Source organism: Homo sapiens, chromosome 2, assembly GCF_000001405.40.
Source record: "Homo sapiens chromosome 2, GRCh38.p14 Primary Assembly".
NCBI classification, from domain to species: domain Eukaryota; kingdom Metazoa; phylum Chordata; class Mammalia; order Primates; family Hominidae; genus Homo; species Homo sapiens.
In genome coordinates, this window is record NC_000002.12 from 174425684 (window position 1) to 174452103 (window position 26420).

Genomic DNA, 26420 nt, shown 5'->3' on the forward strand with positions numbered 1-26420 from the left:
AAATAAAAATTCTAAAGCTGTAAGTATTTTAGGCTTTACTTAAAAATCATAAGATGTCGATTGACAACTTAAAGTAGTGGAAAGATAATGGAATTTGAGGGAAGAAGAGTAAAAGAGCTGGGTTCTGGTCCTGGCTCTGTAAATAACTACTTTTGTGTGTTAGGGAGAGTCAATCCTATTGGTAGTTTTAATTTACATTTCTTGATTACTAGTAAGATTAAAAGCCTTCTCCTATGTCTATTGGTCATGAGTATTTTATTTTAAATTACTTGTCTATTTTTTCCCTTAGGCTATTTTTCCATTGATTTTGGGTTATTTTTGTTTTTTGGTTTAAATAGGTAAAAATATGTGAATATTAACTGTTTGTAATAAGGCGGAATTTTATCCCAGTTTATTGTTTGACATTTAGCTTTTTTGTCAGACAAAAATTTTAAACTTAGTCAATTATATTTATTAGTCTTTTGCTTTAAGGCACCTTGATTTCATGTTTCAAAAGGCCTGCCTCACCTCAATATAAATATAACTTCTAGCATATATATGTTTTTTAAAAATTTAGTTCTTTAGTCCATCTGGAATTTACTTTTGTGTATTTGATGAAGTAGGGATTTTAACTCTGTTTTCCAAAAAGGTAACAAATTATTCCAATACCATTTATAGACAAAATCCATTTTTTTCCCACTAATATGAAATGTAGTGTTTCCTCAGAAAAAAGCTGCATACAATTTCATACTGAAGTCCATGTTAAGGTTATTTGTTTTGTAGAGTTCTACCCCATAATGGTTCAAATTTTAAAAATTATGCTCACAGGCCGGGCGCGGTGGCTCACGCCTATAATCCCAGCACTTTGGGAGGCCAAGGCGGGTAGATCAACTTAGGTCAGGAGTTTGACACCAGCCTGACCAACATGATGAAACCCCGTCTGTACTAAAACTACAAAAATTAGCCAGGCTTGGTGGCGGGTGCCTGTAATACCAACTACTCGGGAGGCTGAGGCAGGGGAATCGCTTGAACCCAGGAGGCGGAGGTTGCAGTGAGCTGAGACTGTGCTATTGCACTTTAGCCTGGGCGACAGAATGAGACTCCATCTCCAAAACAAAACAAAACAAAACAAAAACAAAAACAAATTATGCTCACTTTCTAGTAACTTTTTATTTATTTATTTATTTTGAGACAGAGTCTCACTCTGTCGTCCAGGCTGGAGTGCCCTGGTGCGATCTCAGCTCACTGCAACCTCCGCCTTCCAGGTTCAAGCGATTCTCCTGCCTCAGCCTCCCGAGTAGCTGGGACTACAGGCGTGCGCCACCACGCCCAGCTAATTTTTGTATTTTTAGTAGAGACGGGGTTTTACCATATTGGCAGGCTGGTCTCGAACTCCTGACCTCGTGATCCACCCGCCATGGCCTCCCAAAGTGCTGGGGTTACAGGCGTGAGCCACTGCGCCTGGCCAAGTTTTTTCTTACATACTTTTTCTTTAGATAAGTACCTTATAACTGATCATGGTGATTCATCAACAATTTAAAAATTACTTCTTTCTGTAAGAATCATAGACCTTTTTTCTCCCTTTATTGAATAAGGATGAAGTCATAGAGGAAATGTCTTCTTTTGGTTGATTTTTTCCTGAACATTATTGTTCTATTGTATTAATCTGATAATATTGGTTTTAAATGTAAAAGATCAAAATTGATAAAAATATTTCAGCCTCAGTTTTCAGCAACCTTCCACATACACAGTTCATATGAGATTTTCTATTGTCCTGTTGTCTTTTAGGTTTTTTACTTATAAACTACTCTTATAATTGTTTTTGTCTTTTCTACTAAAAATAATTTGGTATTCATGCATTAACTCAATCTAGAGCAATGATTTTCCCAAAGAATTTCATTTCATTCTTTCTGTCTCTAAAGAACAAGAAGGGAACCAAACCACAATCAGAAGCCAGCATGAACAAACCTTATTTGTAGAGATGGGTTGAATTTGGTTAGATTTATGTGTATATGTATATGTGTTTATCTTTATATTTTTAATTGTTTAGGAAAAAGCCAAAATAATGTTGGACAACATGAGGAAACTGGAGAAAGAACTATTCAGAGAGATGGAATCAATCCTTCAAAACAAGCATCTTGATGTGGAGAAAATTGTTAATCTCTTTCCTCAGTGTACAAAAGATGAAATTCAAATTTATCAGTCAAATTTATCAGTCAAAGTTAGTTCTTAGTGATCATATGGTCAGCTAATATTAGTTCTTAGTGATCAGTGGTCAGTAATCTTCAAAGTCAGAATCTATCACCTTGGTAAATTATATAAACCTAACTTGAGCAGATCTGATTATTCTTGGATAGTATTCAAGTGGTATCTTGACTATTAAACTACGTATAGTGTTGCTGAAATAGAAAGAAAACAGCATTGGAATTGGATTCATGTATCGTGGGATACAGGTGTTATTTCAGGTGATGTACTTGCATTATTTTCTTTAGCCATAGTAACTTTTTGTCACAATAACTAAGTATTCAATTATATATAAAGAGTGAAACATTAAAATGACGCATGGATTTATATTTATTATAATTATGTAGTACCCTCAAATCATTTTGTCAGTTACATCAAGAAAGCAGATTTTTCTTTAGTCATGAAAAATATCTCAAGTGGTAAGTTGTTTGTGCTTTAGGCAAACATTAACCAGCTCTAACAAGAAAAATGTCTAGATTTACACATTGTCAATACAGTATATTAGTTCTGCAAATGCACTTTTGTTAAACTCAAACATGCTCTTTGTCAAGACTTGGCTAACCAGTGAGCTTGTAGCTCTGATTATCTAGCATTTTTAGGGTCATTCTCCTTAATAGGCTTTTATGTTAATAAGATATATTTTTAGAAGAGCTTGTTTGGGAGATTAGAGAATAAGATAAAAGAACCAAAACCTTAGGATATACTGTTTCTGGGTCTGAAATCTCTCTCATTGTTTACTTCTGTTCACTCAGTGAAAACAGAAACAAGAATGAGGTAGTGGCAATGAAATAGAATTATTAGTATATTATGAACATTATAACATTTTGAACACTATAATGCATTATATATTATGAACTTTTATGAACTTTATACATGAGTAATAGCTTCCTAAAGTTTATAAAACATTGTTTAGGTTACATAAAGATTACCAAGTAAGACTCAAAATTGCAAATATAAACAAAAGAAAAATCCAACTGAAAATAACACTAAGTATTTTTGAGTTCCTAGAATGTCCATTTTGGTATTTGGTTACATTATCATATTTACTAGTCACTATCAGCACAATTAGGTTAATAAAGAAGTGGGTCATTATATTCAAAGAGTGCTCAGGAAGTTATGTGTTCAAAGTTCTCTCATAAATACCATCGTCTGCCTGATACTGCTCTTGTCTAATAGAGGGTTGACATTACAAAAGAAAAGATGTCTGACTCAAGAACTCAGTTGATTCTGTTTGCCTTAAGTTTGGTTCAGTGATAGGCTGTCTTCTAACCCCTATACTCCTCTTCTCTCCTTTAATAGATGAGGAAACTAAGGGCAAACAGTTCGTTACACTTACGGGAATCTTATTTCCCTCTCTAGGGGCAGCATGTTTTCACCTTCTCCTTTGCTGCCACCTTGGCCTAAACTAGCACCGTCTTTTAGCTAGACCATTGCGTTAACTGTTCTCCTACACCCATTTTTGTTCTTTATTTCCACCCACATGAGTCACTGCAGCCAATCTATTACAAATTTAAATCTGATTATGAATTCCCCTCCTAAAACTCTTTTTTAAAAGAGACTTTATTTTTTGGAGCAGTTTTAGGTTCACAGCAAAATTGAACAGAAAGTACAGAGTTCCAATACAGCCCCTATCAGCATACATGCATAGCCTCCCCCACTATCAACATCCCAGCACCAGAATGGTACATTTGTTAGAATCAATGGCCCTACATTGACACATTATCACCCAAAGGCCATGGTTCAAGTTAGAGATCACTCTTGATGTAGTACATCCTATGGGCTTTGATAATTATAAAATGACATGTATCCACCATTATAGTATTATACAGAGTAGTTTCACTGCCCTAAAAATCTTCTGTGTTCTGCCTATTTATCCCACCCTCCCTCCAACCCCTGGCAACCACTGATCTTTTTACTGTCTCCATAGTTTTGCCTTTTCCATATGTCATATCATTGGAATCATACAGTATGTGACCTCTTAAGATTGTCTTCTTTAACTTACTTAGTAATATCCATTTAAGGTTCCTGCATGTCTTTTCATGACTTGATAGCTCATTTCTTTTAGTGCTAAGTAATATTCGATTGTCTGAATATACTACTACTGAAGGACATCTTGGTTGCTTCCAAGTTTTGAAAATTATGAATAAACCTGCCGTAGACATCCATGTGAAGGTTTCTGTGTGGACGTGTTTTCAACTAATTTTTTGTAAATACTAAGGAGCACAATTGCTGGATCATGTGGTAAGACTATGTTTAGTTTCCCAAGAAACTGCCAAACTGTCTTCCACAGTGGCTACCATTTTGCATCCCTATCAGCAATGAATAAGAGCTTCTGTTGCCGTATATTCTTGTCAGCATTTATTGTTGTCAGCATTTTGGATTTTGGCCATTCTAATAGGTGTGTAATGGTATCTTGTTTTAATTTACAATTCCCTGATGATATATGGTGTTGGACATTTTCACATGCTTTTATCTGTTTATCTTCTTTGGTGAGTTGTCTGTTCAGATCTTTTGCCCATTGTTTACCTAGGTTGTTAATTTTCTTATTTTTGAGTCTAAAACTTTTTTTTTTTTTTTTGAGACAAAGTCTCATTCTTGTCCCCCAGGCTGGAGTGTGGAGTGCAATGTCGCATTCTCAGCTCACTGCAACCTCTGCCTCCTGGGTTCAGGCGATTCTCCTGCCTCAGCCACCCGAGTAGCTGGGATTAGAGGCGCCTGCCACCACGCCCGGCTAATTTTTGTATTTTTTAGTAAAGACAGGGTTTTACCAGGTTGGCCAGGCTGATCTAGAACTCCTGACCTCAGGTGATCCACCTGCCTTGCCCTCCCAAAGTGCTGGGATTATAGGCGTGAGCCACTGTGCCCAGCCTAAACCTCTTTAAATACCAAAGGGATCCCACTGATCTGCCTCATTTATATCTTATTACACCTTCAACCGTTGTTTTTTAGGTTTCTACTATGCTGCTTTTTCATGTCCTTGAATGTGCCTTCCTCATGGCCGTATTTGTCTGCTTGCACTATTCATTCCATGTGCTCCCTTTTATATAAGTAATACTTGACACCCTTTAGAGTTTTGCTAAAATATGACTTCCTCAGGGGAGTTTTCCTCACACCAGAAGGTCTCTCTAATACTCTTGGAGGCACAGGTGATCCTGGTCACAGGTCAATCATGTTTAACATCTGTTTTTCACAGAATAGAAGCTCCATGCAGATAGGAATCATATTTATTCCCACTGTTGTGTGCTCAGTGTTCAGATTGTGTCTGGCACATGCTAGATGCTCGATACATATTTGTTAAATGAATATTCAAGTACTGATGGGAAGAATTTACACAGCCCTCTTCTCTACCTGTAGAAATGTAAAGTTGAAGAAACTAGCTAGACAATCTATCTGCACAACTTGGTATCCTTTGATAAGTCTCAGGTCAACCTGTCACCTCTTAGATACTGGTATTATTTACCATTACTTAATAAGCCAGGGGAATAATACGAGTATTCTAGACAAGGCTATTTTGTTTGATCTTTGATGAAAACACCAGCTTATATATGTTAATCATGAATCAAAAGTTTTGCTTTAGAAATAACTACATAGCCTAGAATTTTGGAGAGTTAGTTTCTTCTTGTAAAGTGTGCCCAAAACAGGTCTACAGAGCTAATGTTTTCTTTTTCATTAATTATTTCAACCTTTTATCATACCAATTGCAGAAATTTATAATCTCATCTTTTCTTGAAGAATGATGATAACATTTATGATCCTGAACTTTTCTCCAGCCATCACTCATGACAGGACTACCTATGTGCAGTGGCCTAAAGTAATTTAATATTTTACATGATGAGATATGAAGGGGCAAACACTAAGAGCCGCATTCTGCTGCGTAACAAACATATAAAACACTAGTTTCACATTTTTCTTGCTTTAGAAATTTACTGACCATTAATTGTTGTTCTCAAAATGCCAAATACACTTTGTCTTAGTCTAAAAATATTGAAAGCTAAGCACAAGCTAGGCATGGAGTTACTCATTGAGAGTTAAGAAAACAATTGACTATGCTGAAGAAAAAGAGATAGGTTTTAATCAAAATTTTATCATTTTTCTAGCTGTCACTCTACATATTGGAAATGATGAAATGTATGAAAAGGACTCAATGTCATATTGACTCATTCATAAAAGTGTTTATAGAATGCGTAATTGGGAAACCCTGTTTGCAGAGCCCAGAGTCATGAAGAACAGAACTCAGGAAACCCATTTAAGAAAACATTGAGAATGTATAGAAAAGACCTCTATGATGGCTTCTGCATTATTCAGATTACTCAAAGAAAAGATGTCAGTAATGCAAGTTAAAATAGGTATTTTATTGAGAAACTTGCTTTGTCAGTGAGAAAGTTAACAGTTACAAATATTTTCATTTAATAAAATTAGCATATTTTTAATTCTAAAAATGTCTCTTAAAAGCCTTTATTATCTGAAACTGCAGATCATTCTGATCCAGGGTTTTCTTTTAGGGTCTCCCATGGAAAAAGATATTGCAGATTCCATTCATGCAAATAACAGAAGTAGTATGACTTGTTCACAAACAAATTCTCCACTTGAGTTTCAGTTGTCTGCATGCATGTGAATTAACATCTTTATTACTGTAACTAGAAAAATCTCCTGGTAACAGCAATGAGGCCTTAGACTTACCCTTGAGCATTCAGAGTCATAATATGGTCTTATTAAAAAAGGAAAGTTCCGCAGCAAGACAATTCAGCTTAAAAACATCCCCATTCCCTAATCACAACTTAAAATTGGTATAGGTTAATAGTACACTAAAGTATAATTTATTTGTTATTAATAAATATACTAGGCTTCCATGCAGGTTTTTTTTTTTTTTTTTTTGCGATGGAGTCTCACTCTGTCGCCCAGGCTGGAGTGCAGTGGCGCGATCTTGGTTCACTGCAAGCTCCGCCTTCCGGGTTCATGCCATTCTCCTGCCTCAGCCTCCCGAGTAGCTGGGACTATAGGTGCCCACCACCACGTCTGGCTAATTTTTTGTATTTTTAGTAGAGACGGGATTTCACCGCATTAATCAGGGTGGTCTCGATCTCCTGACCTCGTGATCCGCCAGCCTCGACCTCCCAAAGTGCTGGGATTGCAGGTATGAACCACCGCGCCTGGCCCCCATGCAGGTTTTTAAAAAACTGTTTATTTGTTGCATTAAAAGGGCAATGACTCTAACCCTATAAATTATTTTATAAATAACTTTTTTACATGAGACACTTAAAGTATAATTAAATAAATATCTGAAACGTTTAAAATAAGTTAAACTAGCACTGACATCTAATAATTAAGATGCTCAAAGGTCATCTAAATAGATCTCTTTAATTTACTGAAGATAAAGTTTACCTGAAGATGCTATGGTCTAAATGTCTGTGTCCTCCTAGAATTCTTATGTTGAAACCTAATCCTCAATCATGTTTAACATCTGTTTTTCACAGGAGAATAGAAGCTCCATGAGGATAGGAATCATATTTGTTCCAACTGTTGTGTGCTCAGTGTTCAGATTGTGTCTGGAACATGCTAGATGCTCGATAAGTTATTTGTTAAATGAACATTCAAGTACTGATGGGAAGAATTTACACAGCCCCACTTCTCTGCCTGTAGAAATGTAAAGTTGAAGTCACATCCTCAATGTGTTAGTATTAGGAGGTAGGGCCTTTGAGAGGTTATTAGATCATGAGGGTGGAGCCTATTGAGTGGAATTAATGTCCTTATAAGGGGCCAATGAGACCAGTTCTTCCCATCTACCATGTGGGGACACAGCAAGAAGGTACCATCTATGAGCCAGAAATTTGCCTTACCAGACACTAGATCTGTTAGTGCCTTAATCTTGGACTTCACAGCCTCCAAAACTGTGAGAAATAAGTTTATGTTGTTTATAAGCTATCCAGTTTATATTTTGTTTTAGTAGCTAAAATATTAGACTAAGAGAAAAGGCAACATTTAGTAATTTTAAAAATTATATATTTTTATACATGGACACTTTAAAAAGACTAAATTCTAAATGTAATCTTTAGAATTTTTTTTTTTTTTTCTGAGACAGAGTCTCACTCTGACACTCAGGCTGGAGTGCAGTGGCACGATCTCAGCTCACTGCAACCTCTGCCTCCTGGTTTCAAGCAATTTTCCTGCCTCAGCCTCCTGGGTAGCTGGGATTACAGGTGCACACCACCACACCTGGCTAATTTTTTTTTTTTTTTTTTTTTTTAGTAGAGATGGGGTTTCACCACATTGGCCAGGCTGGTCTCGAACTCCTGGGCTGAAGCAATTCACCTGCCTCGGCCTCCCAAAGTGCTGGGATTACAGGTATGAGTCACCATGCCCAGCCTAGGTTTAGAATTTTTAAATATTGGCTTGAACTATATAGTTTTTTTTTTTTTAACTACAGGGAATAAAGTAGAAGTTATCCTGCATTACGATGCTTTGTTCAAACACAGAAATGATACATCATATGGCAATAATTTTGTTGATAAAATTCAAATTAATCTACTCAAATTATTATTTGTAGCATGAAAGTTAAAGATCAGATTGTACTTCTGCAGGACTGTGGAGATAATAATACATATGGAGGTTCTTATTCCTTTCCTTAATGGCATAGATTAGTAATTTGGGTAGAAAAGAAAAGACAAACTTTAAAAAAAAATAGTGCCTCTAGGTTTTTTTTGCTTGTTTTTTGTTTTTGAGACAGGGTCTTGCTCTGTCACCCAGGTTGAAGTGCAGTGATGTGATCTTGGTTCACTGCAACCTGCGCCTCCCAGGCTCAAGGGGTACTCCCACCTCAGTCTCCAAAGTAGCTGGGACTACAGGCATGCACTACCACACCTGGGTATTCTTTTTTCTTTTTCTTTTTCTTTTTTTTTTTTTTTAGTACAGACCGGGTTTCACCACGTTGCCCGGGCTGGTCTTGAACTCCTGACCTCAAGCGATCTGCCCGCCTCAGCCTCCCAAAGTGCTGAGATTACAGGCGTGAGCCACTAAGCCTAGCCCTCTAGTTTTTAAATGAGTACTATTTGTCAAGGAAATGGAAAAAAGAAAAAGAACCTCTTATTAGAATCATTAAAATTCTTTTTCAAGAGATGCTATCAAAAAATATAAAGTTGTCATAATTTAAGGTCCATCTCCTGCTAGTAATACACTTGCCAAATTTGATAATTTATAGGAACAGTTAATAGGATATTAATTTTGAAATTATAGTAAACAGTTGCAGAAAGCAATGATTATATAATGTTGGCATATTCGTATTATTTATAGTACAGTTGACCCTCCATATGCACAGGTTCCACATCCATAGATTCAATCAACCGCAGATAAAAAGATGTAGTCAGGCTTAACAATGGTTGCATCTGTAGTGAACATGTACAGACTGTTTTTCTTATTGTTATTCCCTAAACAATACAGTATAACAACAACTATTTACATAGCATTTACATTGTATTAGGCATTATAAGTATCTAAAGATGATTAAACTATATGGGAGAATGTGCATAGGTTATATGCAAATACTACACCATTTTATTAATTATTTTATTTTATTTTATTTTATTTTTGAGATAGAGTCTTGCTCTGTTGCTCAGGCTGGAGTGCAGTGGCACGATCTCGGCTCACAGCAACCTCTGCCTCCCAGATTCAAGCGATTCTCCTGCCTCAGCCTCCTGAGTAGCTGGGATTACAGGCACCCGCCACCACACCCAACTAATTTTTTGTATTTTATAGTAGAGACGGGGTTTCGCCATGTTGGCCAGGCTGGTCTTGAACTCCTGACCTCAGGTGATCCACCTGACTCGGCCTCCCAAAGTACTGGGATTACAGGCGTGAGCCACCATGCCCGGCCTACACCATTTTATATAAGGGACTTGAGTATCCTCAGATTTTGGGATCTTCAGGAGTCCTGGAACCAATCCCCTTGGATACTAAAGGATGACTATATTATATTCATTATCAGAACTTTAATTTGGTTTTCTCTTTTTCCTAAGTCAGCTTCCTATGTGTTTTACATACATGTAAAATCACAGACCCTGCGCATGTGGTGGGAGCACATCTTTTCACATTTTACAGAAGAGACAACTGAGGCTCAGAGAGGTTGCCTCTGTTAACTTGCCCAAGGTCACCCAGCTAAAAACTAATGAATACGCGGCTAGAATATGATTCCATGTAGGGTTCTCCCCTGCATAATTTAGGTCTTAGGGGAATGTGAGGGTGGGGATGAATGCTCAATTTCTTTATATCTTTCCTGTTGGAGAGTGTTTGCATTAATAGCAGGAGGACTCTGTTCAGGACTCTTTTGAAGAAATCTGTAAAACAAGTACTCATCCCGGAATTCATACTCGTTGGTAATATGTTGGATGACTCCCCCTTGTACCAGCCTGTCTCCGTATATCACAGCTTCACCACGGTCGGAGGCAAGGCCGACTTCAATTAGCCAGCTCACCAGGTCACAGCCACAGAAAGTTCCAGCAGAAGTCTTTGCACCACACCTGTGTCAAAGGAATGATTCACCCATATTTTCTGTAAATCTGGTATCAGCACTGCATGATAGAGGACAAGCAAGAAAAAATAGAAGGAAACAAGGAAAGACAGCATGGTAGTTACAAGCATAGCAGGAAGGAAACTGTTCTGAATAGAAAGGGTTTGTTAACTCTCCTGACCTAGAAAGACCCACTGGAGAAAAAGAAAATATGCCAGTAATGCTTGTGAAAACAGAAATGCTTAAACAATACCAAAAAAAGTCATAGATAATGTAAATGCACTTACAAAGAAATACTTTTTATAGTAGCCTGTTATCAGATCTGTCCTGTAATAGCTGAATATGACATATTTTATAATTTATACTTTTAGTTATACTAAGTAATTTGTGTCAGGAACACTAAATATTTTTCACGAGCTCTTAAGAAGTGATTATTTTCACTATTCAAATCAAACTTTATTTTTAGCTCCATATACATCATGTATACGTATGCACTACATACATCATAGTGCCCCACAAGTAGCCTTTCTTCTTGCCCTCAGCAGGCAAGACAATCCTACTGATATGTTTGTCAGAAATTTGCTTCATTAGGAAGCAAGGAAAGAATAAGTGAGATCTAACTTGCTACAAATCTAAGATTTTTAAAATGTGCTTTGTGAATCTACTTCTTGAATATTTAAAAATCTATCTTCCTGATGCAAATATGGGATGTCTTAAGTATGTACAAATAAACAAAGGATAGAGAGATACAGGGAAAAAAATCCAATTACACGAGTGCTGTACATTTCCACACAAATACACTATAGATAGACAACATGAATCTGTCCACAAGCATCATTCAGGCTACAAAACCTAAAGTGCTTGACGTGGGAAATGGTGGATGAAGATCAAGGTGAAAGGAGAAATAGGTGACAAAAATTTAAAAACATTTCACCATAAATGAATATTCATTAGAGTTTATATAAGAATTAGAAAAAAAGGTTAATACTCATGAAAAGTTTTCTCAAATACATAAAACTACATTATTTTAACATCAGTATTTCATTTAGAGATAAGTTATCTTAATTTATGCCTTGCAACTAGAAACACCACATTCGACAAAAGCCTGGATATTATACTCTGTGTTAGCCTTCTTTTTGCTTGTTGATTTTTTTATTTATGGCCTAACACCTTTTTTTTTTTTTTTTTTTTTTGAGACAAAGTTTCACTCTTGTTGCCCAGGCTGGAGTGCAATGGCACGATCTCAGCTTACCCCACAACCTCCGTCTCCTGGGTTCAAGTGATTCTCTTGCCTCAGCCTCCCGAGTAGATGGGATTACAGGCATGCGCCACCACACCTGGCTAATTTTGTGTTTTTAGTAGAGACGGGATTTCTCCATGTTGGTCAGGCTGGTCTCGAACTCCCGACCTCAGGTGATCTGCCCACCTCAGCCTCCCAAAGTGCTGGGATTACAGGCGTGAGCCACCGTGCCTGGCCTATAGCCTGACACCTTCTATTCCAGACACCAACAGAGTATTTATTTCCTGATGACTGTGATCAGGCAGCTATAATAACAGCCCATGGCTGGGTATGGTGGCTCACGCTTGTAATCCCAGCACTTTTTTTGGGAGGCCGAGGTGGGCAGATCACTTGAGCTCAGGAGTTTGAGACCAGCCTGGCCAACATGGCAAAACTCCATCTCTACTAAAAAAATACAAAAAATTAGCTGGGTATGGTGGCACGCACCTGTAGTTCCAGCTTCTCAGAAGGCTGAGCCCAGGAGATTGGGGCTGCAGTGAGATTGCGCCACTGCACTCCAGCCTGGGCGATGGGAGTAAGACTCTGTCTCAAAGAAACAAACAAAAAAACCAGCCCATGGAGCTGTACAAAGTGGCAGAGAATGTGACACTGTACAGGCTGTAGAGCCTGGAAAGGGGCAGGAAACAGGCTGGCACGCTCCCAGCCAGTGTCCATTCAGCCAAATGGGACTGAGGCAGACTGGCAGCCCTGCAAATTGCAAAAGCTATGCTTCCTTCCCAAGAGCTGGCAATCACACTGGGCCTCAAAGAGCTAACCCGGAGTTCTCTTTTTTAATTTTAAAAAGCAGGGTTATTTTGTGGGTTTTTGTTTGTTTGTTTTTGAGACAGAGTCTTGCTCTGTTGCCCAGCCAGAGTGCAGTGGCGTGATCTCAGCTCATTGCAACCTCCACCTCCCGGGTTCAAGCGATTCTTGTGCTGCAGCCTCCTGAGTAGCTTGAATTACAGGCGCCCGCCAACACACCCGGCTAGTTTTGTATTTTTAGTAGAGACAGGGTTTCACCATGTTGGCCAGGCTGGTCTTGAACTCCTGACCTCAGGTGACCCTCCCACCTTGGCCTCCTAAAGTGCTGGGATTACAGGCATGAGCCAGCACGCCCGGCCCTAAAAAGCAGTTTTAAATTGTCGAAACTATTCATAGATGGCACTTTGAAATAATTGTGCTCAGAAGGGTGAAAAACTAACTTTTCTTCATAGTTTACTGTTGCCAGAAAGTGGGCTATGCCTATCACAGACATTCTGTCATCTAATTCAACAATCCCAAGAATTCGATATTTTAAAGAAGAGGAAAACTAAAATTTAGAGAATTGAACTTGCCCAATGTCACACAGCCAACAAGCGGCAGTTCAGGAGCTGAGTTCTAGTATTAGTCCACACCCACTGCAGCCCCTTTTCCACTCTCCGTACCAGGCTACCTTCTGATTATAATGATATATATGTTAAATACAGTGGCATAATATATGTAAATAAATTATCCTCCATATGAATTTTCATACATTTCATATTTTCAGTTATAGACATAAAAGTATTTGGTTCTTTATATTTTGTTTTGTTTTCTCTTTTATGACAAAGAGAAATACTGGTAGTATAGTATTTATTCAAAGTTCATAATTTCCTGCTGTATACTTCGTTTATAAAAAAATTTTTTTCCTCATCCAAAATTAAAAGAGAACCTGCTATATACTTCATACCTTAAGGATTAGTATAATAAATATTATGTCACAGACTAAAGATTAGAACTTGAAGTGAAACATAAGCAACAAAATTAAGAGGCAGAAATTTCATTTCATTTTCTTGACAAATACATTTGTCAAGAAATGCTGAGGTGGGAATATAACATCACTTCTAAATCCAATGTATCTCAAAGTTTTGTGAGAGACACTACTGGCCAACTTGAAATCAGTGTCAATATTCTATGACATTTTGGTTCACTCTAAACTGAAGTGTTCACATTTTATATGGCAATCAGAAGTTATATGACATTTTTAAAATATTAAAATCAACGTAAATGGTTCTTTTATATGCCATTTCTGAAACTATAAACTCACTCATAATTCCTGTAACTTTTACATGCATATGTAAAAATAATCATGTAATCAGTCACAACCACCTCATTTAGCCTATTACAATCCAAAATTAATCAATTAATCATTTAAAATATAATTGTCTAGAACCTGTACTGGCACTTTGCTTACCTTCTTTCTTTGACAATGTTTCGGATACAGAGGTCACGGTGATAATGGATAAATTGTTGACAGGTCATTTTTATTTCCTCTGAAACAGGAGAATCCCTGTTTTCTGCTGTGTCTTTATTGTTCCATAGGAATTCAAGTCTGAAAATCAAATTTATGGCCATTTTTAAGGACAGAAAAGCACTGAGAGAGAACTCTTCCTGCCTTATCACCCCATCAAAATGGCTGTTCCAAAGCTGTCGATCACCAAAGCTGTCATCTACAATACCCAGACATCGTTAGTCTCAGAAGCAAAAACATTCTACATTCCAGACATCATTAGTCTCAGAAGCAAAAACATTCTACATTCAATTTCCTATTCAAAGCATACTGGGGTGGAAGACTTAATCATTTTATAAACCCTCCAGACATGTTTGATCCATTTCAGGTTCTACTAATAAATGTTCCTTACTCTACATTCTACTGTTTTGAAATGCAAAGATAAATTAGAGATCAAATATTTTGTTTAATCACTTTTCTATTTTAGTACCACAGAGACAAATACCAAAAACTCGTACTCCAAAAACTGGAGTACGAAACAGTTTTGTTTCAGCAAGCCTACACATTAGAATCGTTGATTATTTTACCCAGTCAACAAATGAAGCTGATAACTAAGTTCAATGACTTTCCAATTATGCTTTTCTTCTTTCATGAAATGATTATGAACCTAGCAACTACATCTTGATGATAATGATAAAGATGAAGAAGAAAGAACCATTAGCATTTACTGGGCACTTTTCATAGCGCTGGTGGGATACATTTCTTTAGCACTTCCAGTTTCTACAAATTTTGACTTTGAAAACACAAGAAGTAGAAAGATTTGTCCCGACCTCTTCCTCCTACCCCCACATTGGAGTATTACTACTTGTTATTTTTCATAAAGAAATCCCTGATCTTAATTCAAAGAAACCCTTCACTAAGCTGATAAAAAAACCAACAATTTAGAAAGAAACTTGAGTTTTCCGTAAGCTGTCAGTTTGATAAAAAGAGAAATTGTGTTGTCAAAGGAGACAGACAATCAAATATAGACCATAGGGGCACACCACCTACTACTTCCATTTCCAAAGACATTTTCAAGTTTCATTTAACTTTATGTAATAGTTAATAGCATAGATAGAAATCAATGTCCATCAATTCTTGTTAAAGTGCAAATTACAATGCCAGATTTGTAATAGTTCCTCCAATTTTTTTTTGCAGTTGTTTATAACCTTTGTGTGGCATTTAGTGGTGTCTTCGCAGTTACTAAAGGTTTAAAAACATCACTATCTTTTTTTTAAGCATAATATAGCAAATTTTTATTTGACATTCAAGTGTTGAAATTAAGCATTTTATGTACCATCATTTGGACACTCAAATATATTTTCTTAGGTTTATAATTTAGGCATTAAAAATACGTCCTAGTAAAAGTTTCACCATACAAAGCCTAGGATAGGGGCATCACAGGGCTAATTTTACCAATCAAATTAAAATATATATATATTTAAAAAATTTTTTTTAATTTTTATTTTTATTATTATACTTTAAGTTCTAGGGTACATGTAAAAAACATGCAGGTTTGTTACATATGTATACATGTGCCATGTTGGTGTGCTGCACCCATTAACTCGTCGTTTACATTAGGTATATCTCCTAATGCTATCCCTCCCACCTTACCCTACCCCACGACAGGCCCCGGTGTGTGATGTTCCCCACCGTGTGTCCAAGTGTTCTCATTGTTCAGTTGCCACCTATGAGTGAGAACATGCTGTGTTTGGTTTTCTGTCCTTGCGATAGAAAAACATCAGTATCTTTGTGTGTGTGTGTGTGTGTGTGTGTGTGCGTGTGTGTGTGACAGGATCTTGCTCTGTCGCCCAGGCTGGAGTGCAGTGGCACAATCTTGGCTCACTGCAACCTCTGCCTCCCAGGTTCAAGCCATCCTCCTGCCTCAACCTCCTGAGTAGCTGGGACTACAAAAGCATGCCACCACACCTGGCTAATTTTTGTATTTTTTTTTTTGTAGAGACTAGGTTTCACTATGTTGCCCAGGCTGGTCTTGAACTCCTGAGTTCAAGCAATCTGCCCACCCTGGCCTCCCAAAGTACTGGGATTACAAGTAGCCACCATGCATGGCCCCATATCAGTATCTTAATATAATGGCTTTGTCATCACATTTACAGATACAGATTTATTTCAAAACTTAATTTACCTTCTTTTGAAAGGCAGGATGATTAAATGTTTATCTAATCCAAAGATTCCAAAGGAAATAAATCCCTAGGGAAGAAAACAAAGTTATTTTTTTCAGAATTCAACAATAACATTTTAAAACAGAGAAGTTAAGGAAGTCACCAAATTTAGTGTTTGAGGAGACAAACCTATAGTGACAAGAGCAACATTTTAAGTGGAACACACAAAGTAGGCCCTTCAAAGGCAGGTATGATGCTTTGCTGCCTTTTCCCAATCATTCTATCCCACTCATTGTGATGGGTGATACAAACCAGGGCTGAGCAGCCGCATTTACATGATAGTAAAATGAAAACGTTTAAGGGCATATATGTCTTTGTTTCCCCTTTATAAAAAGAAAATATTTCCCACTGTGCGTAAGTATTTATTATTTTTCCATGAAACCTCACAAATTATATAATTAACAAGTGTTGCAGTATCTAATAATAATGCAGTAATTGAACAGAATTTATGTAAAGTGAAACTGGCTAGTGGTTAGGAGAAGAGTTCAAGGATTTGTGAGTGTCAAGGCAAATGCCTAGCACCAGGTATCAGCCACAGGTTAGGACAATTTAAAGACTCTTTTTGAGAGATAGGAAGTTGGGAGCTGCCATCTGTGTCACACTGGGATAAGGATCTGAGTGCAACTTGATAGAAGTAGAATGGAGAATGCAGAAGGACCCAAATTTCTTCATCCCCCATACTATAAACAGCCAGAAGGGAATGAGCTTACCATACCACCTCCCCAAGAGGAAAATGGGATGGGAATGGGGTTTCTGTCTGTCTTGCTCCATTGAACCACTTCGGCCTTAAGTTGTGGGGCAGCATTTTAAATGCAACATTCCTGGCATTAGCTGCTGTTGATGACACAGCCCTATGGAATGAAGCTCATCCCAGTCCCAGTTCTGGATAGCTCAGCTTAGAATGGGCTTTCTGAATGCAAAATGCTAAGTCAGACTATGATTTTTCAACTCAGTATTTTATAGTTCTTAGATACAAAATCAGATCTTAAACAGTATCACAAAGTGAGATATCAAGTAGGATGCTCATGTCTGTCTGTAATAAACTGATTAAGGTCATTTGTCTCTGTGGGCATAGCCATTTTTGCTCCCATCATAATGGCCAAACTGTAAATATTGTAAGAAATTAATATTAGGAAAAACAGCAACATCTATTGACAAATGTTAACTCATTCATATGGCAAATTATTTTAGATTTAATAGACAAACTCAGTGATTTCAAATGTGTGGGGTTTTTTGTTTTTTGACCTGATACTCAGTCTGTGGACTAATATTCTGTAATGCAAAAGTAAGGGCTGGGTGCGGTGGCCCATGCCCGTTAATACCAGCACTTTGGGAGGCCAAGGCAGGTGGATCACTTGAGGTCAGGAGTTCAAGACCAGCCTGGCCAACATGGTGAAACCTCATCTCTACTGAAAATACAAAAATTAGCTGGGCATGGTAGCAGGTGCCTGTAGTCCTAGCTACTCAGGAGGCTGAGGTAGGAGAACCACCTGAACCCAGGAGGTGGAGGTTGCAGTGAGCTAATGCCAATGCACTCCAGCCTGGATGACAGAATGAGACTCCATCTCAATTAAAAAAAAAAAGTAAGGAGTTAAAGGTCAAAATTTGGAATTTGCACATAAAAAATATTTTCCCAATATGTAAGATGTAATTTATCCTTAAGTATCCATTTTAATAGTGACATAAACATAGACAATAGCACCTATCATATTACTTGTTTATGGAATTTTAGTTTCCTAATTCATAAACTGGGGGTGATAATACTACTTTGCAGGTGTTGTCATGATGTTTAAATGAGATAATGAATGTAAAATGCTTAACGATGGTTGGCACATAGTAGACTATCAAGGAATGGTAACTGCTATCCCTAGCCAAAATTTATTTATATACCACATGATTTTTCTTTTTAAGATTTAAGTATCTATTGTTCAAGAAACATCAAAATGTAAATGAAATGATGTCCACTAATTTAAGGAGATGGCCGGGTGTGGTGGCTCATGCCTGTAATCCCAGCACTTTGGGAGGCTGAGGTGGGTGGATCTCCTGAGGTTGGGAGTTGGAGACTAGCCTGAGCAACTGGAGAAACCCCGTCTCTACTAAAAATACAAAATTAGCCGGGCGTAGTGGTGCATGCCTGTAATCCCAGCTACTCAGGAGGCTGAGACAGGAGAATTGCTTGAACCTGAGAGGCAGAGGTTGCAGTGAGCTGAGATCACGCCATTGCACTCCAGCCTGGGCAACAAGAGCGAAACTCCGTCTCAAAAAAAAAAAAAAAATTTAAGGAGCTAAATTAAAAGTTCAGGGAAATTAAGTTATTTTCCCAAAGTGACCTTTTTTTTTTTTTTTTTTTTTGAGACAGTCTCATCTCACTCTGTCACCCAGGCTGGAGTGCAGTAGCACAGTCTCAGCTCGCTGCAACCTCCACTTCCTGGGTTCAAGTGATTCTTGTGCCTCAGCCTCTGCAGTAGCTTGGATTATCGGCATGGACTACCACGTCTGGCTAATTTTTTTGTATTTTTTTGTAGAGATGGGGTTTCACCATGTTGGCTAGGCTGGTTTTGAACTCCTGGCCTCAAGTGACCTGCCCACCTTGGCCTCCCAAAGTGCTGGGGTTACAGGTGTGAGCCAATGAGCCCGGTCCCAATGTGACTTATTAAGATCACACCAAAGTTACTACCTGGCATTTTTCTGGTGGAAGCACTCAGCGTACATTCTGATGACTTTAACCAATATAATAATTCGTCTCTACTAGAAGACAAGCAGCAGCTGTCAGCTGCCATGCATACCAGCAGCTGGCAAACAAACTAAATCCTTTTTATGTGAAAGAAAACAACATCCTAATCCACTCCCCGCTTCCCCCGACCCCCTACCAATCAACCTATCCAGGAAGACAAAAACCCCTCAAAGTTCTCCATAAATAAATACCTGACCAAAGTTAAACACGGCACAGAAAAACTGTAACTCAACATAAAGTCTTCCAGGCTCTTGGTTGAATAGCCACCATAAACAACTGGAAAGATTCTGTAAAGAAAGGAGAAAAGAGTATTTTAAAATCAAGCAAGCTGATAATTCCTCTCCATCCACAGCATAGTACAATAACTTACCTACTTAATAATTACAGGGAAAAAGACTAGACGGAAAAACACTGAGAGAATATAGAGGCTTTATCTTTTCAATAAGAAAGTTTCAACCTCTCCTCCTGACAGATGTCATTCAAACAGTTATCTATTCTGATCAGATTTGAAGCAAGAAGACATGAGCCATAATACAGAAGCTTACATAATGTATCAAGATTGCCAACTAGCCTAAGACAGGCCTGATTTTAAATTTAGTTCTACACAATGAAAACAATTACATCACTAAGCAATTCTTGGCAGCATTTCTTATTTTTTGATTTTTGTTCTTAAATGGCACTTAAAGTGGTATTGGCTGATATCACACTATCTCACGAGCATCCCAGTGTGCAAAGCGTTCCTTCATAGGTTATCTGGTCCATCTCCTACCTCTGGACGAGTTACACTTGAACCATCTCAAAGAATTATATAATAAGAACTGATAATTCACAAATAGGACATTTAGTAATCAAAGAAATGCATGTAGTCTAAAAATAAAATACTGTATTTTAATTTTCTCTATTTTGTAAGGGTCTATTATATGAAGTAGTTATGTTATTTTGATAATTGAAAATTATTTTTTAAAGTTTATCTGAGGAATATGTTCTGAGAGGTTTTTTGGTTTTCTTTTTTTTTTTCTGGTGGACACTGAGGTTTCATGTTCTGAGACATTAATGTAGGCATTTATCCACTTTGGTCAGTCAGGTATGTTAGGAATAAGTGGCCCTGTGTACATTATTGAAATAGCTGCTTTTGGGCCTGGCGCAGTGGCTCACGCCTGTAATTCCAGCACTTTGGGAGGCTAAGGAGGGTGGATCACCTGAGGTCAGGGGTTCAAGACCAGCCTGACCAACATGATGAAACCCCGTCTCTACTACAAATACAAAAATTAGCCAGGCATGGTGGCATGCGCCTGTAATCCCAACTACTCAGGAGACTGAAGCAGGAGAATCGCTTGAACCCGGGAGGCAGAGGTTGCAGTGAGCTGAGATCATGCCACTTCACTCCAGCCTGGGCAACAGAGTTAGACTCTGTCTCAAAAAAAAAAAAAATAAAAAATAAAAAGAAATAGCTGCTTTTACCAAATTCTAGGTTCAGAGCATAGAATGAATAAATGATTCTAAGCAGAATAAGCTATTGGAGCACTCAGGCCTCAGAGTAATGTGAATGATTCATCTCTTCCCCTCACACCTGCAATTATTTAGCTCAAGATCCAAATTCAGGTGACCTAGCTACCACACTTCTGGAAAGCAGCAACTAAGTTTTTCCCGGATGCCTGAATAAAACCTTTGCCAAAAATTTAAAGAAATGGCCCCAAAACAAAACCAGAAAAAACCATTACAGCGAACAGGCCAATGATGAGAAGTAAACACAGCAACACATGTCGGGTCAGTTGCTGGTCTCCACTCTGTAGATACTGTTCTTCTTCCTGGGCTAATATGCAGCTCTGGGAGTTACAGCGACTCACACAATGATTGTCTATAAAAGAGTAAGCACAACAATTTGTAATCAGAGCTTTTTATCTAAATGCATTTTAAATTTGTAATGACTTCCTAAGAGAAACAACAGAAAAGCACATTCAGCTAAGAATCAGTATATTATTTTAGATGAAATTGGAAGAAAGCTCCTTCATGTTGCTTTAGAAGAATTCTAGCTGAAATGTTTTTATCTCAAAAAACATAAGTAGAATACAATAGTTCCCTTTTACACTATTCAACAATGTTTTATATATATAATTATCTAACATAAGTTATATAATTTGGTCTTTAAAAATTATACATAATTTGCCTGGGTGCGGTGGCTCATGCCTGTAATCCCAGCACTTTGGGATGCCGAGGCAGGCAGATTACTTGAGATTAGGAGTTCAAGACCAGCCTGGCCAACACGGTGAAACCTCATCCCTACTAAAAATACACAAATTAACTGGGTGTGGTGGCGGGCACCCGTAATTCCAGCTACTTGGAAGGCTGAGGCAGGAGAATCGCTTGAACCCAGGAGGCAGAGGTTGTGGTGAGCCAAGACTGCACCACAGAGTAAGACTCTGTCTCAAAAAAAATTAAAAAAAATAATAAAAAATTATATATAATTTTTATATAATTAATATAATTAAGTATAAATTATATATAATTTTTATTTTATATATTAGTTATATAAATAATATATACACATTACATATATAATTATATAACAATTATATATTATGTTATAAATGTATATTATATATCAGTATATATTATAATCATATAAATTTATATATAATTATATATGTAATTTGTGCATATTATATAAATTACAAATTAATATATAAGCATATATAAATAAAAATTTTATATTTAATTATATTTATAATTTACATATATAAATTATATATTAAATATATAATATATATTAGATATTATATATATCCTAAGTGAATTAACACAGGAACAGAAAACCAAGTACTGCATGTGCTTACTTATAAGTGGGAGCTAAATATCAGATACTCATGGACATAAAGATGGCAACAATAGGAACTGGGGACTACTAGAGGTGAGGAGGGAGGAAGGGGGACAAAGGTTGAAAAAGTATATAATATATATTTTTATTTTTATATTGTATATATTAAAATTATATACATATAATTTTAAAGGCCGAATTAATAACTCAAGTTTTATCACTGATAAATCTACATATTAGTCATGAATACCCTATTTTGGCTAACTGTGAAACAAATTATTATTATCTCTTAACCTCTCATTAAAGAGTTTACAATTTGCCTTAACCCCTGCCTTTCACCATATACAAAAATTAACTCAAGATGGACTAAGATTTAAATGTAATGTCTCAGCCAGGCACGGTGGCTCACGCCTGTAATCCTAGCAATTTGGGAGGCTGAGATGGGCGGATCACTTGAGGTCAGGAGTTCAAGACCAGCCTGGCCAACATGGTGAAACCCTGTCTCTACTAAAAATACAAAAATTAGCCAGGCATGGTGGCGGCCGCCTGTAATCCCAGCTATTTGGGAGGCTGAGGCAAGGGAATTGCTTGAACCTGGGAGCAGAGGTTACAGTGAGCCAACATCGTGCCATGGCACTCCAGCATGGGCAACAGAGCAAGACTGTGTCTCAAAAAAAAGTAATGCCTCAAACTATAAGAATCCTAGAAGAAAACCTAGGAAACACCATTCTGGACATCGACCTTTGGGAAGAATTTATGACTCAGTCCTCAAAAGCAATTGTAACAAAAACACTATACTGGGAAGTTTTTTGTTTTTTGTTTTTTGTTTTTTTTTTTTTTTTTTGAGACGGAGTCTCGCTCTGTCGCCCAGGCCGGACTGCGGACTGCAGTGGCGCAATCTCGGCTCACTGCAAGCTCCGCTTCCCGGGTTCACGCCATTCTCCTGCCTCAGCCTCCCGAGTAGCTGGGACTACAGGCACCCGCCACTGCGCCCGGCTAATTTTTTGTATTTTTAGTAGAGACGGGGTTTCACCTTGTTAGCCAGGATGGTCTCGATCTCCTGACCTCATGATCCACCCGCCTCGGCCTCCCAAAGTGCTGGGATTACAGGCGTGAGCCACCGCGCCCGGCCTACTGGGAAGTTTTAAGGTAAAAACAAAAACAAAACCAAAAATTGACAAGTGGGACCTAATTAAACTAAAGAGCTTCTGCATAGCAGAAGAAACTATGAACAGAGTAGACAGACAACCTACAGAATGGGAGAAAATATTCGCACACTATGCATCTAACAAGGCCTAATATCCAGAATCTATAAGGAACTTAAACAATTGAACAAACAAAACACAAATAACTCCATTAAAAAATGCACAAAAGACATGAACAGACACTTCTCAAAGAAGACATACAAGCGGCCAACAAACATGAAAAAATGCTGCACATCACTAATCATCAGAGAAATCAAAACCACAATGAGATACCGTCTTGCATCAGTCAGAAGGGCTATTATTAAAAAATCAATAAACAACAGATGCTGGTGAGGCTGTAGAGAAAAGGGAATGCTTTATACCATTGGTGGGAATGTAAATTAGTTCAGTCACTGTGGAAAGCAGCCTGGAGATTTCTCAAAGAACTTAGAACAGGACTACCATATGACCCAGCAATCCCATTACTGGGTACATATCCAAAAGAAAAAAAATGGTTCTACCAAAAGACTCATGCACTTGCATGTTCATCACAGCACTACTCACAACAGCAAAGCATGGAATCAAACTAGGTGCCCATCGATGGTGGACTGGATAAAGAAAATGTGCTACATATATACCATGGAATACTATGTAGCCATAAAAAGAATGAAATAGGCCAGGCACAGTGGCTCATGCCTGTAGTCCCAGAACTTTGGGAGGACAAGGCGGGCAGATCGCTTGAGCTCAGGAGTTCGAGACCAGCCTGGGCAACATGGCGAAACCCTGTCTCTAAAAAACTAAACAAGTCCGGATGCGGTGGCTCACGCCTGTAATCCTAGCACTTTGGGAGGCTGAGGTGGGCAGATCACCTGAGGTCAGGAGTTTGACACCAGCCTGACCAATATGGTGAAATCCCGTCTCTACTAAAAATATAAAAATTAGCCGGGCATGGTGGCAGGTGCCTGTAGTCCCAGCTACTCGGGAGGCTGAGACAGGAGAATTGCTTGAACCTGGGAGGCGGAGGTTGCAGTGAGCCAAGATCGTGCCACTGCACTCCAGCCTGGACGACAGAGCGAGACTCCATCTCAAAAACAAAACAAAACAAAAATTAGCCAGGCGTGGTTGCACACGTCCGTAGTCCTGGCTACTTGGTAGGCTGAGGTGGGATGATGGCTTGAGCCTAGAAGGCAACAGTTGCAGTGAGCTGTGCACTCCAGCCTGGGTGGCAGAACCAGATCCTGTCTTGAAAAAAAAAAAAAAAGAATGAAATAATGTCCTTTGCAGCAACACGGATGCATCTGGAGGCCATAATCCTAAGTGAATTAACACAGAAACAGAAAACCAAGTGCTGCATGTGCTCACTTATAAGTGGGAACTAAACATCAGATACTCATGGACATAAAGATGGTAATGATGGAAACTGGGGACTACGAGAGGTGGAAAGGAGGGAGAGGGCAAGGGCTAAAAAACTACTGGGTACTATGCTTAGTACCTGGGTGATGGGATCATTTGTTTGTACCCCAAACCTCAGCATCACATAATATACCCAGGTAGCAAAACTGCACACGTACCCACTGAATCTAAAGTAAAAGTTGAAAAAAACTTTGCCTTAGGAAACACCTTTGAGGAACCATAAAAGTATTATATGCCATGTTTTGTTCACATATGGATACAAACACAAGTCACAGGCATGACTCTTTTCTGGCCAAAAATAGAGGTGAGGGACTTTTCACAGGAAGCCTTTGTTTTTCTACCTTAGCTCCATTCTATATATGGGAGCAAAAGCAAAGAAAAACATTTTTTTTACAAAATAGATGTCTAGTCCAACATATAGTCTTATACAAGTCAGTGATTAAAAACCACAATTCTATAGCTCTTGCCCTCAAGCTAAAAGAAAAAATTTGTATTTCCTAAAACCACATTTTAGAAAAGGCCATGTATACCCATTAAACATGGTCTAGCACAATTGCTGATGGCATGGGGGAAGGTTCATAATGTTGCTAAGTATAAAGAAAGTAGGTTGCCAAACTGTCTCTGTAGTATGATCCTATTTGAATAAAAATTATTTGTATATATGTGTGGAAAAATCCTGGAAGTATACCTATATATAATAAATCTGGTTTTAAAATATTGTGTACAAGCCAGGCACGGCAGCTGACGCCTGTAATCCCAGAACTTTGGGAGGCCGAGGTGGGAGGATCACTTGAGATCAGGAGTTTGACACCAGCCTGGCCAACATGGTGAAACCCCGTCTCTACTAAAAATACAAAAAAAAATTAGCTGGGTGTGGTGGCAGGTGCCTGTAATCCCAGCTACTTGGGAGCCTGAGGCAGGAGAATTGCTTGAACCCGGGAGGCAGAGGTTGCAGTGAGCCAAGACTGCGCCACTGCACTCTAGCCTGGATGACAGAGCGAGACTCCATCTCAAAAAAAAAAAAATTTTTTATACAGATATTACAAAAATGGATAAAAATAAATCTTCTTTCATTTGCTTTTTCATACATTGTTGCCATTCAACAATCTAAATGTGATACTTATTTTTGCCTTTGTACTATGCCAAGGGGTAGAGAATAAATTATATTGTCAACTCTAAAAATTCTAATTTGCCCATGGTTTAATTTCCTTCAGGCTTTATTTTAGGCTTAGGGATGGCACTAAATTGTATGATTAGATGAAGTCCCTATATAATGGCTCTCATTCTATATAATTTTTATAAAATATGATCAGAAAATCCAAGCCCCTACAATTTAAGAGAATTTTCAATGATCAACTTTTTGTTTGTTTATTTTTGAGACAGGGTCTTGCTCTGTTGCTCAGACATGATCATGGCCTATTGCAGCTGCAACCTCCTGGGCTCAAGCGATCCTCCCACCCCAGCCTCCTGGGTAGCTGGGATTACAGGCATGAGCCACTGCATTCAGCTAATTTTTTTGATTCTTTGTAGAGATAGGGTCTGGCTATGTTGCCCAGGCTGGTCTTGAACTCCTGGGCTCAAGCACGATCCTCTTGCCTTTGCCTCCCAAAGTGGTGGGATTACAGGAGTGAGCCACCACGCTCAGGCGAGAATCAACATTATTAATGAAGAAAATGACAGATAAGCAAAGCCTAAGGAGATTTGGGGAGGGAAAAAGAAATTTGCCAAATCAGATTACATGTTGAATTTGTTAATGGATTTTACTACTAGGTATATTGTGTAGGGAGATAACAATAAGGAGG

At 38.1% G+C, this 26420-nt stretch overlaps 2 protein-coding genes across 18 annotated transcripts in view; one reads left to right on the plus strand and one right to left on the minus strand.

Moving 5' to 3' along the window:
• Positions 1 to 4388, plus strand: part of SCRN3 (secernin 3) — a 34342-nt gene extending 29954 nt beyond the window's left edge. For 9 of the 11 annotated variants that reach the window (NM_001412202.1, NM_001412204.1, NM_001412208.1 and 6 more), the window contains one exon: positions 2030 to 4388. In NM_001412202.1, the coding sequence (NP_001399131.1) occupies positions 2030 to 2212 (183 nt within the window). In that variant the 3' untranslated portion in view covers positions 2213 to 4388. The remainder of the gene's footprint in view (positions 1 to 2029) is intronic. The other 2 variants (NM_024583.5, NM_001193528.2) reach the window with 1 other exon arrangement.
• Positions 4389 to 5887: 1499 nt separating this feature from the next.
• GPR155 (G protein-coupled receptor 155) overlaps positions 5888 to 26420 on the minus strand; it is a 55459-nt gene continuing 34926 nt past the window's right edge. For all 7 annotated transcript variants that reach the window (NM_001267051.2, NM_152529.7, NM_001267050.2 and 4 more), the window contains 5 exons: positions 20928 to 21064; positions 19398 to 19493; positions 16436 to 16500; positions 14215 to 14352; positions 5888 to 10733 (listed from right to left, as the gene is read on the minus strand). In NM_001267051.2, the coding sequence (NP_001253980.1) occupies positions 10433 to 10733; positions 14215 to 14352; positions 16436 to 16500; positions 19398 to 19493; positions 20928 to 21064 (737 nt within the window). In that variant the 3' untranslated portion in view covers positions 5888 to 10432. The remainder of the gene's footprint in view (positions 10734 to 14214; positions 14353 to 16435; positions 16501 to 19397; positions 19494 to 20927; positions 21065 to 26420) is intronic.